The sequence below is a fragment of the Homo sapiens genome, chromosome 5 (assembly GCF_000001405.40).
Source record: "Homo sapiens chromosome 5, GRCh38.p14 Primary Assembly".
NCBI classification, from domain to species: domain Eukaryota; kingdom Metazoa; phylum Chordata; class Mammalia; order Primates; family Hominidae; genus Homo; species Homo sapiens.
Genome location: NC_000005.10, coordinates 154,223,048 through 154,239,786, shown reverse-complemented (window position 1 = coordinate 154,239,786; position 16,739 = coordinate 154,223,048). Strand labels below are relative to the sequence as shown.

At 43.3% G+C, this 16,739-nt stretch overlaps 1 protein-coding gene across 1 annotated transcript in view, besides 1 other annotated feature; it reads right to left on the bottom strand.

Annotated features, from left to right (window-relative positions):
* The window catches only part of GALNT10 (polypeptide N-acetylgalactosaminyltransferase 10), a 230,252-nt gene that overhangs the window by 181,198 nt on the left and 32,315 nt on the right, over positions 1-16,739 (bottom strand). The window lies entirely within an intron of this gene.
* Positions 1,858-1,907: an enhancer, noted in NCBI's record as "active region_23474". NCBI's record gives its function as "activates an Ori minimal core promoter by ATAC-STARR-seq in GM12878 lymphoblastoid cells {active_cell/tissue: GM12878}" and the evidence as "EXISTENCE:reporter gene assay evidence [ECO:0000049][PMID:35858748]".

Genomic DNA, 16,739 nt, shown 5'->3' with positions numbered 1-16,739 from the left:
GCCCAATTAATGGGACACCTGGAACTCAAGGTGTTTTCTTCCCTCAGTAGACTGTGAGCTGGTTGAGGACAGGAATGGGCGGTTCACATCTGTAACCCCAGCACTAGCCAATAAATGATGTTCGATTAATGGCAGAGACCTTATACCAGCAGTCCCCCAATCTTTTTGGCACAGGGACTCGTTTTGTGGAAGACAATTTTTCCACGGATGGGGACCGGGGTCCGGGGGGTGAGGGGAGTGCATTACATTTATTATTAGATTCTCAGAAATAGTGTGCAACCTGGATCCCTTGCATGCACGTTCACCATAGGGTTTGGCTCCTATGAGAACCTAATGCCACAGCTGATCTGACAGGAGGCGGAGCTCAGCTTCACTTGCTCGCCCCACCGCTCACCTCCTGCTGTGCCAGCCAGTTCCTGAAAGGTAGTCCGTGGCCTGGGGGTTGGGGACCCCTGCCTTATACGTGCCCTGCCCAGGGTGATGACCCTGAACTGTGCACAGAAGGACAGGTAGGCAGAAGGGAGGCGAGAGAACCTCCTTCAGTGGCAGCAGAGGACTCCTGAGCCAGCCCTACTATAAATAAAGACAGTACTTACCCTGCAGAGTTATCTCAGAAAGACTTGTATTCCCCAGAGACCAACAAGAAGAGGAAGGAAGATGTGAAGATACAGAAACAAAGTGGGCAGTGAGGCTGGGAAGGCACTGAATGGTGAGGTAAAGAGAAGCACTAAGAGGGAAGGCTCTGGAGCTATATGGCTAAGAATTCAAAGCTCAGCTCTGACACTGACCAGCCCTGAGATCGCCCCTCCCTGAGACTCGGCTTCCTCAGTTCTACAAGGAGGAAAATAACAGAACCTCCCCCATGAGGCTGGTGCGAATCAAATACAAAGTTTGCCGAACACTTGGTGCACAGTAACAGCACAATAAATGGTAGTCATATTATGAAGGATATACTTTTTTCTGAAGGTAAAAGCCAACATCCTCAGACAATAACAGCCAAGAAGGAATTCAGCTTAGTACAACTAAAATAAAAATAGGACAGCTGAAACTGTTTCCTGAGGATGACTATTTATGAGGCCAATTTCGCTTTCCCAGTGCTAATGAATCCCCCACGGCAGCCTCTGTGCAGCTCTGCGTCCAGAGAGCAGGGACTTGCCTTCCCTGGAGTTCTTCGAAGCACCGCAGACACTTCCAGTGCTCAATCAGCGTTTAATAATCACAGCAATAATCCTAATAATGACCAGGGTAAAGCGCAGGGGGAGAAGGAGAAGATGCACGTGGGGAGAAATAACACTTAAGCTATTTTGCTTCCTCAAGACAGACTTCTGCCTGAAATAGATTAATTCAATCTGCATATTAATGTGGATTACTAATTAATGACTAAAAAATGCTTTCACCAGAGAAAGTGCTATGCAAATGCCTAAAAAATAATATCCAGGAGTCTCAGGATAACTATGGAAAGGAAATAAGCTAGGCTTTTTTTTTTTTTTAACATTTAAAACTTTATGGTTGAAGGAAATAGAGGGCATTAAGAAAATTCACTTAAAGCACGGAAACAGAAAACAGAAAAGCCTGGTGTGAGGCGACTTCCTTTCCACGCCTGTGGGAACTTCTCACTGCACTTTCCTTGGGTTGTTGTAACTGTTGCTACATGTGTCTGTGTTGCCTTCTAGACCCCAAATGCCTCAAGGGCACAGGCCATGTCTTACGTATGTAACTCCACAACCCTGGTACCCAACACTGTGCCGGGTATGCAGGCAGCAGCCAATAATGTTTAATGAAATAAACAAATGGCCCCAAAAGCCTTCTCAAAAGAGGAGGCCAAGGGCAGCTTATAATGACTTCCTTCAAAGAGTACAGTATGAAAAAGAAGAAAACATGAGTCATGGTGCGGTGGAGAAATCTAGCAGGCGCGACCTTCACCAGGTGATCAAGGTCAACATCGACAGTGATAAGTCATGTTAATAGTAGGTATCCTTGATGTGATGCAAGGAAAATGGCACTTTACCTCTGTAATCTTGCTCCCCAAACCCATAACCCCCATCTACGCATCAGAAAAACATCAGACAAATTCCAACAGATTCTAAAAAAATGCTTGGCCAGGGCTCCTCAAAAACAAGGTGAAGTCTGATAAACTGTCCCAGCCAAGAGGAGCTTAAGAAGACATAGCAACCTAATGTAATGCAGTATCCTGCAGGGATTTCCCAATTGGAGAAACAAAGCAAGGGGAACCGGGATCTGTCCAAGGTCTCACAGAGATAGCCGAGTCAGGACTTGCATCCTCACCTCAGACTCTTTGGTAGACAGATTCTCACAAGCGTGCGGATGCATTACAGTGATGGAGATGGTATTCTTTTTCACACACAATGAATAGCCTGGATTTAAAAACAAAAAAAAACCCCACAACTTAAATGCAATTTCTTCTCTCCTCTCAAAACGCTCAACTTCTTTTGACCAAAAATCCCAAATAATTTCACAGTCAAGCACCTCTCTGAAATCAAGAGATTCAATGGGGCTGAAAGAATGGTCCTCAGAGCTCACCAAAACCAAATCCTCCCATTTAGCAGAGAAAAAATTGAGGCCCAAAGGGGGCGACAATGTCCTGCCTCTTGCCAGTTCAGTATATTGGTGCCACACTTAACTCATGCTTCCTCACTTGCAAGATCCCAAACTCTCTGCTACCTGGGACACAAAGAACCAGTTTAGGACCATGGAGGAATTCCTGCCAAATCCTAGCTCTATCTTTGCCAATCTCACGGCTGTGAAGGGCATCCATATGGAAAATGGTTTTGGTATTTAGCTACACATCTTTTTGCCCCAGACCCCTAGACACTGCCAAGCAGAAAGCCCAGGCCTGGCAGGCTGAGGCCTGAGACACAAAGATAGCTTCCAACTGTGGTATGTGGAAAGGGCACAGCGCAGCCTGGCTGGCAGGCCACACTTCCCCTGTGCAGCCCCATCCATCAACCACCCTGGGGGATCTCAGTTTCCAGCTCGGTGGTACATTTTCCAGGGTACATTTTCTAAATGTGACCCTGTTTCTGTTATGAGAATCAAAGTGCTCCAACCGCAAGATCATAAATACTCAAAAGTGACAGCTAATGGCAATGGCAGTTTGCAAAATGCCAAATGGCAGCAAGAAGTGGACGCCATAAATTACATCCTGATTCCTCCACTCACACTGAGGTGTTTTGTGGGTTTTTAGTGATGAAATCTGCTTTCAAGTGGGTTTACAGGGGCTCCCCATGAATTCAGGCAGAGCTTTTAAAAATACTTCTAACAGATGCTAAAAAGAAGACCAGAGGAGCCTACAATTTAAGCCTAAAACAAGTTGATTAAAAATGTGTTTAATGTGCAATGACCAAAATATGGAAAGTAGCTCATTTAAAGATGGATACATTTAGTGTGAATGTGCTAATAGTTACATTAACAGTAACAATGACAGCTAAGATGCATTGGGTCAGGCACTGAGCTGGGCATTTTACATGGATTATCTCACGGAATTCCTGCAATAGTTCCATGTGGTAGGTACCACTGTTGTCCTTATTTTGCACATGAGAAAATTCAGGTTCCAGGAGGTTAAGCCATTTGTTCTGGTGACACAGCTGGGGAGTGACAGATTGGAACTGTGAACACAAGGGATCTAACTTTAGAGCTCAGGTTTTGACTCCCTCTGCTAGTCTCCCTCCCAGTCCAAGCAGACCTAAGATGGGGCACATCAAGGGCTCCCCAGACCTAAGCAAAACATCATTGTGCACAAGAGTGGTCTGGGAACTATGTAAACATCAAATTGTGGGAACTTGGCACAATGAACAAAAGGGCAAACTTTTAGAAAATACAAAGGATCCCTATTCTAAAATTATGGATTTCCAGGTCTGGCTTTGCTTCCTCCTAAGTCTTTAGCCTCAGTTCCTTTATCAGTAAAATGAGGGCAATATGACTTCTTGCCATTAAGACAACCGGTGAGATTACATATGTGAACAGCTCTTTGAAAACCCCAAAGCACTATCCAACTTGTGTTATTAACGGGAATAGCTAGACAAAAATTTTTCAAGTTGAGTACTAACATTAATCCTCTCATGCCTCCTTTGCAGAGGTAGAAATTGAGGATCAAAGTGATTAAATAACTGGCTCAGGGTCACAACATTAAGAGTTACTGGTACAGCCATGACGGAATGTCCAGAAGAAGGTCATAGGTTTCTCATGTCCTCAATTGTTGGTCCCCCAAAACACTCAAGCACATAAACACACACGTGGGTTCCAGAGAACAGTTTGAGAACTCCTGTTCTCAAACTGAATCAACCCCTAAGGCCCTTTCCTAGTACTGAAGCTACAAGTCTCTGTTCAGCTCTCCAGGTGGTAAGGAAAGACTCTGCAAAGACTGCAGCCTCAGAGGACAGGAAAACTCAAGGTCTCAGAATGAACCCCATCTGTGCTGCTGTAATCATGGTATTACCAGCTGCTGCTGTGGCTGGTACCCCATTGGTAGAACCTACAGGCTCACTGAGACCAAGAAGGCCCCCCAACTGAATGTTCATTTTATTTATCTGCAGCTAGTCAGGGGCATTTCTGGTGATAAAGGAGAGAGAAGCAGGTTTTTGTGGCAATGGTGCTGGGCTTCGAAGGGACCGCAGCCCAGTGCCATTGCCAGAAGTCTAGGGAAATGTCTCCAGGTTCCTTGTCCTTCCACAGATTTCTTTCCTTTGGGAACTGTCCCACTTTCTCACTAAATTCTATGTACTAGACTATTTCCCTCAGGCCCTGTTTCCTCTATTTTCTGACTTTCAGTAAAGTTGTGGAAGGGAAAGTCCCAGAATCCTAGACTCTCAAGGCTCAGCAGATCTCAGATGCTAAAGGGTGTCTAGTCCACTCTCCTCCTATCTGGTACTTAGGCCTCCTCGAAAGTATTCCTGCTCAAGTGTTGTCCAGTCTCATCTTGAACATCTCCCAGGCTGGGGAACTCAATACTTATTGGGGCAGCTTGTGCCATATTCTGCCTACTGTCAGAATAATGTAGTGAGAGATAAGAAGCACAGGCCCTGATCAGGACCAATCCCGTATATGCAGGGCCTCTCTCAGTGCAGGGCCCTGTGCATATGCACTGGTCACATGCCCACAGGACCTGATCCTGACACCAGACTCAATGGGTTTGAATCCCACTATCAAGTTACTTGACCTCATGGTACCTTACTTCCTTCACGTGTTAAATGAAGGTAATCATATCTATTTCATAAACTTGTTTCTGAGGATTAGAGTTACTATGTAATGATGTGCTTAGAACAGTGCCTGGCACAGAGGAAATGCTATCAATTTTGTACCCAATTTATGTACCAGGAATAGATAAATATGCTTAGTAGTCTCCATGCCAGCCCTTTTGGTGTCTGCAGACAGCTCTTTTAGCCTATGAGCCTGTTCTTCACCTGGAGCAAAGTTGCTGGTTTCTGTCACCACTGCCTGCCACTAAGACCCTGGGTAGGAAAAATCAAAGCCACCACCATGGGCAGGTCTGGTTTTGTGGGATCTGATGTTGATGCTTTGGCAGGTGGGGATGAGGAGAGGCTCTTTAAGAAGAATATGAAATTAAAGCATGCACATAATGCATTTTATAAGTGCCGTTAGATGTATCCCAACTCAACTTTCCCACCACAGAATCTTAAAAATGCCTGTGGCCACTCCACCACCAGAGAGGAGGGGAAGTTAGAGAGAAGAGAGACAGTGGTTGTAACTGATCATAGTTAAATGCTCTTTTGCAAATGTTAAGAGAACTGATGACCATGAAACACATTGCTAGGGCCCCTCCCAGAGCCTTGGAAGGAAGGGACTCTGAAGCTTCATGGTGAATCTGACATTGGCCACCACCATAGCTCAGGACATCTGGTCAGATAATAAGGAGAAAAGTAAACTGTCCAAGAAGCTACCCACAGCAATTCTAACCCACGACATCCTCTACCTGCCCACCAAAAGCACTTCTGTCACCTTCCTGCCATTACAGTCTCCCAGCAAGACTGTAGGTGCTATGAAGGCGGCCCTGTCTACCCTGTATCCTCAGGGCCTAGCACAGTATCACAAACATGGCAGCCACTCGACAACCATGTGCTGTGGAATAACTGTTTCAGAATGCCAAGAGCAGAGGGCTGGGGTACAGAGACCATGGTGGGCGGCTGGTGGGGGGTGCTCTGAAGAATCTCATCCCAGTGCCACCACTAACCTGTTGGGCACCCCAGAACAAGGCCTCCACCCCTTGGTGCCTCACCTTGGTCTCTTTTCAGAAGCCAGAGCCTTTGTTCATAACACAGTGCTGCCTGCAGAAGCCCACTTTTCCTTGCAGAGACAGCACAATGAGACCATTTTCTTTTTGCTGAGTTTCCCACACACAGAAATCTTGCAGGTGCAGCCTGACTTTGGAGCCCTTCATTTATTATTCATTTATTTCCTTGTAATACCATTTCTGCCGCACTCAAAGGACAAGCCCTAGAACAGGCTTCCCACCTGCAAGTTAACATTGATACAACCCCGCTACAGAAAATCTTATCTGAGAGTACCCCATTACCAACAGCCAAGCAGGCCCAGGATGCAAAGAACCAACCTGGAGTCAAGACATTCTCTTTCCCATTAACAATGTCCTTTAAGCATCCCAACCATTTTCATATTTATCATTTTGTTAAAATTTTTTTATAACAATCTTCTGAAGAATGGAGCTCAGAGATTATTATCCCCATTTTACAGATAAGGAAACTGAGGCCCAGAAAGGCTGAGTAACTTGTCCAAGATCAGCGACCTTGTAAGTGGCATAGCTGATGTGAACCTGGGGCTAACTGACTCTACAGGCCATATATACTCTGTTAACTACTCTAGAGTAATTCTCCCTTCCATATTCTAAAGATATTTTAAAGAATGATTTTAATATCCAGAACATATCTATAAATTAATTTTGTTCCCAAAGACAAATAAGCTTGAAAAATAGGAAGAAATGCATGAAAACAAGTTGTAGCTACTCAACACTTTTTGAAATTGACCACATGTCTGTTACTTGTCACGATGCTCCTGCCACACTGCACTCTTTCTCGTCTTCAAGCAAGACAGCCCTTTGCAGCCTCATGACCCCTGTACTTGCTGAGCCTGCTGGCTGGACATTCTTCCCCAGGCTTCTTCCTGGCTTTGGATCACAACCTGACCCTCATATCTTAAGAGAAACCTTTTCTAACCTCCTCCCCTGACCCTTATGCCAGCCTATTTGTTTCCTTCATAGCACCTATTATCACTGTTTTATTTATTTGTTTGCTTGTTTATTGTCTGTTCCCCCACCACCCCACTGGAATGTAAGCTTCCTGAAGGCTATATATGGTTTTCTCACCACTACACAGAAAGATGCCTGGCACATAGCAGGCATTAGCCACAAGTGTATTGAATAAGTAAATGAATCCTATTTGCATTTGACCATTATCAAGCTCACAGTATCTTACTCATAATAACCAAAGCACATATAATAGCCAATTAACCTTACAATAAGCAACTAAAAGGACAGATAACAGCATTCTGTTTTTATTAAGGATGAAAATAAAAGAAAAGACCTAGAGAGGTTAAGTGGCTTGCCTGGAGCCACACAGCACTAAGAGGTAGAGGTGGGCCTGTGGGGTGGCTTTCAACTTACTTTCTATAAAAATCTGCTTATAATATCTTTCCTTTAGTTTATTCCCACTGCCTTAAAGGTTCTCATAGGTCACTGTTTGGTAGTTTGCTGAGCTCCTGGCTCTCTCCCCCCGGAGGGCAGAGGGCCATCCATGCCTGCAGCATTTCTTTGAGCTGATATACAGTGAGGACATGTGACTTAACAGGCTCTTTGGGCTGAGGCTAATCCACAACTGGACTGTATGCAGGATCCTGTGCAGAAAAGCTGATGGGCCCCAAAACCTGGGTTTCTGGATTACCAACAAAGACAAGTACGTAAGTATCAAAGGACTTTTCTGTATCCCAGAGAGCTACAAAGGCACATAGAGGTAGAGATGTGCCAGCAATTAAGCTCATGCCAAACTCATGACCTACAAACATGTATGGCCTTGAGATAAGAGACCAAGATGTTGTCCCACAATGGCCTCATTACCCCCACAGGAGACTGGGGTTCACTCTAATTCAAACGTAGTATTCCCCAAATGACTTGATATACCCCTGGGCAGAGAGAGGCACTTGATAGTTAACAGGACTAAAAAGAGGGCTGAGACAGGGGTTTGAGCATGGTAAAAAATAAAATCAAAAATAAACCAAAACCCAACTTCACAGCTAATAAGAACAGAAAAGTGTCTCCCACCCTCTCATAACCCATACATCAGGAAAACTTGAGGTTGTCCAATTTCGAAGTCATCTAACCTGGCATTTCTGACTTCTGAATTCAATGGGCTTGAAAAGATTTTCCCAAAAAAGTGGTGTTGGGAAGAGACGATGTTATCAGCTTTGTGTTCTGTGCAGTATATACATTCAAACCAACCAAGAAGGCAAACAACCTACCGTCTGCTATTACTACCATTTTATAAAATAAGAGGATGCATTATACCAACTTGGAAAGATGTCCACTCAGGATCAGTAACACACAGCTTTCTGAAAAACTCACCACTCTCTCCTCATTTTCCCTTGGACTGGTAAAAATTTTAGCCACAGAAACAGGTCTGTGAACCACAGGAAAAGAATCACAGCTCTAGCCTATTTCTCTCATCTATATATAAGGACAAGGAGGCCTAGGAAGGCCAGGCAGCCAACGTTCACAAAGCTGGTTCGTGGCGTCCTCAGAAGCTGCAGGGACCCGCCTTGTCTGGTGTATGCCTTGCCATCTCTGTGAAGTCACATGAACAAAAAACGTCAAATAAGCTTGACTTTCTTTTATTTACCAAATGGTACATCTGCTCTTCCTGGTCTAGGTCAGACCCCAGGACTGGCCTGGATTCCAGAAAGAATAAGAACTGTGACCTGGATTAGGTTCAGGGTCACTGACCTTTGGTTTACTCCAGAAGCTGCTAGTAAGTGGTGCAGAGGAAGTGCACAGGAGGAAAGGATGCTGTGGGCACATACAGCTCCTATCTGACTTGTGTCTTCTCAGAGGCACATCTTGAGCCCAGGGATGTAGGTGGTCCTATGCAAGAGAGGCTCACAAGTCTCAGAAGCACAGAACTGTGGGCTTGTTACCTGTTATCTCTCTAGTCCCATCAGACCTAGAAAACAACTTCTAAGACCATAAAGCTGCTACTCATAAGCCAGACACAGAAGCCTATGGTGCAGATTTGGGGCCTTGAAAGTCTTGCTGCATACCAAGGGGCAGTGTCCCCTTATCTGTGCCCTGTGCTGCAGGGCCCAGGAATTTTCTACTTGTGTCCACTTAGGGCTTCTACAGGCAGGCCCAGTGGTTGCTGCCCACAATCTCCACACTCCGTAACTAGTAAACCCCTTGGGGACAGGAACTTAGGTTTTCTTTTAAACTTAGTATTCCCCAAATGACTTGATACACTTCTGGGCGTAGAGAGGCACTTGATAGTCAACTGGACTGAAGAGAGGTTTGACATAGGAGTTTGAGCATCACATAAGGTACCTACCTGAGACTGTTTCAGGGACATAAAGCTTTGCGTACACAGGATTATAGTATTTAAAACCTGGATAGCTGATCAACAGTGAGGTTCTACCTCAACACAAGTCTATTCACAAAACAAAAAATTTATTATTTGAATATGGAAATTCCAGTAATGGGAACACTGCCTTTTTCCCACTGGACTGAAGATCCCTTGAGAGTGAGACTTGTGTTTTACTCATCTCTGCATTTTCCAAAGGTGCCCAGCATGGAGACTGACACAGAGTAGGGGCTCCACAGATGGCTGTTGGACCAAACAAAGTTATCACAGATGTCTGCTTCCTCAATGTATCCTGACAAACCCTGTTATTCATTCATTCATTCACTTTGTTTATCAAATGCTCTTTATATGCCAGGGACTGTGCCAGAAAGTAGGGATACTACGGAAGGAGTAAGACTGTCCTGGTCCGTGATTGCATGGAACTTAGATTCTTTTTTTTTTTTGAGATGGAGTCTCACTCTGTCGCCCAGGCTGGAGTACAGTGGCGCATTCTCGGCTCACCGCAAGGTGCGCCTCCTGGGTTCACGCCACTCTCCTGCCTCAGCCTCCCAAGTAGCTGGGACTACAGGCACCCGCCACCATGCCCGGCGAATTTTTTTTTTTGTATTTTTAGTAGAGATGGGGTTTCACCATGTTAGCCAAGATGGTCTCGATCTCCTGACCTCGTGATCCACCTGCCTCAGCCTCCCAAAGTGCTGGGATTACAGGCATGAGCCACCACGTCCGGCAGGAACTTACAATCTTTGCAGGGAAGATTAAAATCAATAGTCATACAAATAATCATATTGTTTTAATTATACTAAATAATCTAAAAGAGAGGTAGAGCATACTATGCAAGTAGATAAGAAATTAACTCTAGATGTGGTGTAGTGCAGGAATTTTAATCACACTAAAATAAAACTTCAACTCATTTGGCACAGATGATTTAGTAAGAGGGAAAGATGTAAAGCCCAGGAGTTCATTAGGTGGTGATAATACCACAATGTACAGACGACCAATATAGGAAAAGTAAGTACCTTCCTCCTCTGGTTCTCTAGTGCTTACCAAAAGAAATGGAAACAAAAACTAACAAAAATGCAATCAATCCCACGTTACCAGAGAAGAAACATTCCTAACAATATAAAAAGACCAAGACCCAACCTCCATTTCCAGCAGTATGGTAGAATACCCTGGCCAACCCACTAGGTGAAAACAATGAAAAAGGCAGAATTAAAAGCAAAAGCAAAATCACATTTTTAAAACGCATGGACAAACTTGCAAGAAAGTAAGAAATAATCAGAAACCAAAAACCAAATGAAAATGAGAACCCAGAGTTAAGTGGAGAACTGAAACTGGCTTTCATTTTGAGGGCGTTTACTAAACCAGGTTAACTTGAATGTGGATTTGCACATCCTCTTAGAACACAGGACACAGAGAACAAAGCCCAGAGTCCACGCAAGGTGGGAGTTTGGCAGTTCACTCTATACCACCACCCACATACAATTGGGACTCCCGCCATCCTTACTGTGAGTGAGAAATAAACCCCCCAATTCTGGCAAAGAGTAAATGGGATGGGAAGGAATCTCTCTTGAGAATTTGTTACTATGCCAGCTCTCGTACAGGTTTTTGGTCCATAATCAGAGTACCTGGGAGATCTGACAAACTTCAAACTGAAAATTTAATGTAAAGTGATTTTATTAGGCACATGGCAGAAGCAAATGCCAATCTTTACTGGAGGAGCCCGCCTTTACCTAGCCCTCGAAGGATCCCCAGAGAAGTTTCCAAGAAATATGAGTTCATATACATATGCATATATGGGCAACTAATTTTTGACAAAGATGCAAAAGGAATTACTGGAGAAATGATAGTCTACTCAACCAATGATACCAGAACAACTGAGTATCAGTAGAAAAACAAGAACTTTGATCCATACTTTATACCACTGTGGTAGGCCATTCTTGCATTGCTATAAAGACATACTTGAGACTGGGTAATTTATAAAGAGAAGAGGTTTAATTGGCTCACGGTTCTGAAGGCTTTACAGGAAGCATGGTGCCAGCATCTGTTTGGCTTCTAGGGAGGCCTCAGGAAGCTTACAATCATGGTGGAAGGTGAAGTAGGAGCAGGCACATCACATGGAGAATGTAGGAGCGAGAGAAAATGGCTGGGAGGGGAGGTGCCACACAGTTTTAAACAACCAGATCTTGCAAGAACTCACTATCATGAAGACAGCACCAAGCCATGAGGGATCCACCTCCATGATCCAAACACCTCCCACCAAGCCCCACCTCCAGCACTGGGGATTACAGTTCAACATGAGATTTCAGTGGAGACAGATATCCAAACTATATCAACCACATACAAAAATTAACTCAAAATGGATCACAAATCTAAATGTAAAGTCTAAAATCATAAAACATCTAGGAGAAAACATAAGGGAAAAAAAAAAACCTTGGGACTTATGGTTAGGCAAAGACATCTTAGATACAACACCAAAAGCATAATACATAAAAGAACAAATTGATCAATCAAACTGCATCAAAAGTTACAACTTCTGCTCTTCAAAGGACACTATTAAAAGAATAAAAGACAAGCCAGAGGCTGGGAAAAAAATACTGCAGAAACATATCTCTGATAAAATACTTGTATATAGAATATAAAGGACTCTCAAAATTCAGTAATAAGAAACCAACAACCAAATTTTTCAAATGGTCAAAGGTATTAACAGACACATAACAAAAAAAAGATGTACAGAGGGAAATAAGCATGCAAAAAGATGCTCAGTATCATTGTTCATTAGAGAACACATTAAGATTAAAACCACGTTAAGATATCACCACATACATATTAGAAAGGCTAAAATTTAAAAGACTGATCATACTAAGTGTTGGTGAGGATGTGGGGAAACTGAAATTCTCATATACTGCTGCTGGGAATGTAAAATGGTGCCACCACAGTTAAATATACACATAATCCAGCCATTCTACTCCTGGGTATTTACCCAAGAGAAATAAAAGCATATGGTCACAGAAAGACTTGTACATGAATTTCACGGTAACTTTGTAATAGCACAAAACTAGAAACAACCCACATGTCCATCAACAGGTAAATGGAAAAGTAAACCATGGTATAACCACACAAAGGAATATTATTTCCCAATAAAAAGGGAACAAACTATTGATACATGCTACATGAATGAATCTCAAAATAATCATGGTCACTGAAAAAAGGAAGTTTTTTTTTTTTTAAAGAGTACATACCGTATGATTCCATTTGTATAAAACTCTAGAAAATACAAACTAATCTATGGTGATAGAGGGCAGTGGTTGCCTGGGATTAGAGGAGGTGCAGGAGGGACAGGAGGGAGAGGTTACAAATGCAAAGGGACACGAGGAAATTCTAGGGGATGATGGATATAGTCATTTTCTTGAGGTGGTGATGTTTTCATGGGTGTATAGATATGTGAAAACTTACAAAATTGAATACTTTAAACACGCAGTTTAATTTATGTCATTTATATGGCAGTAAAGCTATTTTTAAAAATCTACATTATGGTGAAAGTACAGAACACTGAAAACAGAGATAACATCTTAAAAGTAGCTGGATAAAAGACAGATGTCATTTAAAGCAATAATCATTAGATGACCCCTGACTTCTCAGCAGCTATAATGGAAACCAGAATGCAGTAGAATAATATATTGAATATACTGAGAGTAAACACTGTCAACTAGAATCATATACCCAGCAAGAACAGGAGAGAAATAAAGATATTCCCAAGCAAACATGGAGAGTTTGCTATCAAGAGCCCTTGCTGAAGGAAATTTAAAAGAATAAGCTTCAGGCAGAAGGAATGTGATTCCCCTTGGAAGGTCTGTAGAAAACAGTAATACTATAGTCTTAGGAAATTAAAAAATATAACTAAAATACATGACAACCATAGCATATATAGGTCAAAGTATGGTGATCAAAGCTGATATGCTAAGTTCCCTGTATTAGCTATAAAAAATTAATTAATTTTAGATTCAAGAATGCATGTTAAATTTCTTTTTTTTTTCCTTTTTTTATTATACTTTAAGTTTTATGGTACATGTGCACAATACGCAGGTCTGTTACATATATATACATGTGCCATGTTGGTGTGCTGCACCCATTAACTCGTCATTTAACATTAGGTATATCTCCTAATGCTATCCCTCCCCCCTTCCCCTACCCCACAACAGGCCCCGGTGTGTGATGTTCCCCTTCCTGTGTCCAAGTGTTCTCATTGTTCAATTCCCACCTATGAGTGAAAACAATGGCATGTTAAATTTCTTGGTTAACTATTCAAAGTAGAGAAATAATACGAAACTCTTTTAGCAGATGAGAGGGAAAAAGTAAAATGAGAAAAAAATCCAAAGGAAAGAAAGCAGAGGAAAAGGAACATAGAAAGGTAAGACAAAAAGAAAATCCAAAAGAAGATGGCAGAACGAATCCTCCATTAAAATGTGAACTTTGGCTGGGCATAGTGGCTCACACCTGTAATCCTAACACTTTGGGAATCCGAGGTGGGAGGATCGCTTGAGCTCAGGAATTCAAGACCAACCTGGGCAACACAGTGAGACCTCATCTCAACAAAAGATAAAAATAATAAAAAAAAAAATTAGCCAAGTGTGGTGGCACATGCCCGTAGTCCCAGCTACTCAGGAGGCTGAGTTGGGAGGACTACTTGAGCCCAGGAGGTCAAGGCTGCAGTGAGCCATGATCATTCCACTGCACTCCAGCCTGGGCGACAGAGTGAGACCCTGCCTTTAAAAAAAAAAAAAAAGGCCGGGCGCAGTGGCTCACGCCTGTAATCCCCAGCACTTTGGGAGGCCGAGGTGGGCGGATCACGAGGTCAGGAGATCGAGACGATTCTGGCTAACAGGGTGAAATCCCATCTCTACTAAAAATACAAAAAATTAGCCGGGCATGGTGGCGGGTGCCTGTAGTCCCAGCTACTTGGGAGGCTGAGGCAGGAGAATGGCGTGAACCCAAGAGGCGGAGCTTGTGGTGAGCCGAGATTGCGCCACTACACTCCAGCCTGGGTGACAGAGCAAGACTCTGTCTAAAAAAAAACAAACAAAAAAACCCCAAAAAGGCCAGGTGTGGTGGCTCACGCCTGTAATGCCAGCACTTTGGGAGGCTGAGGTGGGTGGACTGCTTGAGGTCAGGAGTTCAGGACCAGCCTGGCCAAAATGGTGAAAGCCCATCTCTACTAAAAATACAAAAAATTAGCCAGGCATGGTGGTGCACACCTGTAGTCCTAGCTACCCAGGAGGCTGAGGCAGGAGAATCACTTGAACCCGGGAAGTGGAGGTTGCAGCGAGCCGAGATCCTGCCACTGCACTCTAACCTGGGAGACAGAGCGAGACTCCATCTCAAAAAAAAAAAAAAAAAAAAGAAGTGAGCTTCTTGTAGACAGAGACTGTGTTCTGTTGTCCACTGTATCTTCAGTATCTACCACAATGTCTGGCACATATTAACATATTAGATACTCCATAAATATCAAATGACTGTTTATAGAATGAATAAATGTTTGGATGAATGAATGGTAAATGAATGAATCTGGTTAGCTTAATGAATGAATAAATAAATGTACAAATAGTATAAAACTTCATTTTAGCCAAAAGTTTCTGCCTTTTCCAGGAACCACCTCATTTATCAGAATTAGCTAACAAATTACAAGCTGGACAAATTGAGTTTCTCTCTTCTCCCTTGTTACGTCTGAGAGCAATGAAGTATGCAAAATACAGATGGACGAGGAAGAAGGAGGAAGCAAGAGACTGGGTCAAATTAGTCCCAGATTATAGAAGAATTGATAGAATAAGAATGATGAATGGGGAAGGTGGCTACTACTTTTGGATTATGTATTTATCCTTTCTTGTCCATTTCTGTGGCTAATGACCTAGCTGGGGGCCCCAACACTTACAGTGGGGACCACAAGATCCCCAACGGTTCTCTGTACCTCCTCTACTTCCTTGTCCTTCTAGGACACACAACCTTCTATAATACTTCCCCTCCCCGCTGCTCAAATGCTTCAGTGGATCACTATTGCCTCTGGAATCAAATTCAAACTTCTAAGCCCAAATTTCAAGGACTTTTGAGAATAGATTTTAATCGCCTTTTCTCTCTGTTCCCCTTAAGGAAAATGAGGCTATAGTCAACAGATCCCAGGACCATTCCCACCTCTGCATCATTACTTATGCTGCTCCCTCCAATTGTTCTGCTGTTGTTGTTTAGTTTTTTAGTTTTTTTTTTTGAGACAGGGTCTTGCTCTGTCACCCAGGCTGGAGTGCAGTGACGCGATCTCAGCTCACTGCAACCTCCACCTCCTAGGATCTGGTGATCCTCCTGCCTCAGCCTCCTGAGTAGCTGGGATGACAGGCCTGCACCACCACGCCCAGTTAATCTGTGTATTTTTAGTAGAGATGAGGTTTCACCATGTTGGCCAGGCTGGTGTCAAATTCCTAACCTCAGGTGATCCACCCGCCTCAGCCTCCCACAGTGCTGGGATTACAGGTGTGAGCCACTGCACCCGGCCTGCTCCCTCCAATTGTTATTCCCTTTCTGTCATCTTTGTTGCCAAGGTTAAGTACATCCTTCAAGGCCTAGCTCAAATGCTAACCCCTTCATGGTGCTTTCTGGCACAGAGCCAAAAATAAATGTTCACTTCTTGCTCTACAATGCTCTGTTTATAACTTGCTTATAGTTCCTTAATACAGTCTACCTTATACTAGAGAGGCAATTTAGCCCAAAGGTTAAGAATGGGGCCTTCAAAGTCAGACAGTATTGGGATTGAATCCAGGTCCCCCATGTCCTAGCTGTACGAACTGGGGAAGTGACTTAACTTCTCTAAGCCTGTTTCCACATCTGCCAAATTAAGACAATCTACCTCAGAGGGTTGTTCTGAGGATTATCAAGCCAATAAAGCAGATCACGCATGCAATAATGATTAGTATTAGAATGCATGCCTTACGCCTCTCCCTCCACAGATGAGGGCATCCTGAGAACAGTGTCCATGTCTGATTATGTCTGTACCTTTCCTTCCATCTCTTCTAGCACCTAGTACGGTGCCCTACACAGTGTTTTTCTCAAATTATGCAAAATAATATCCAAACTCAGAGTTAATAT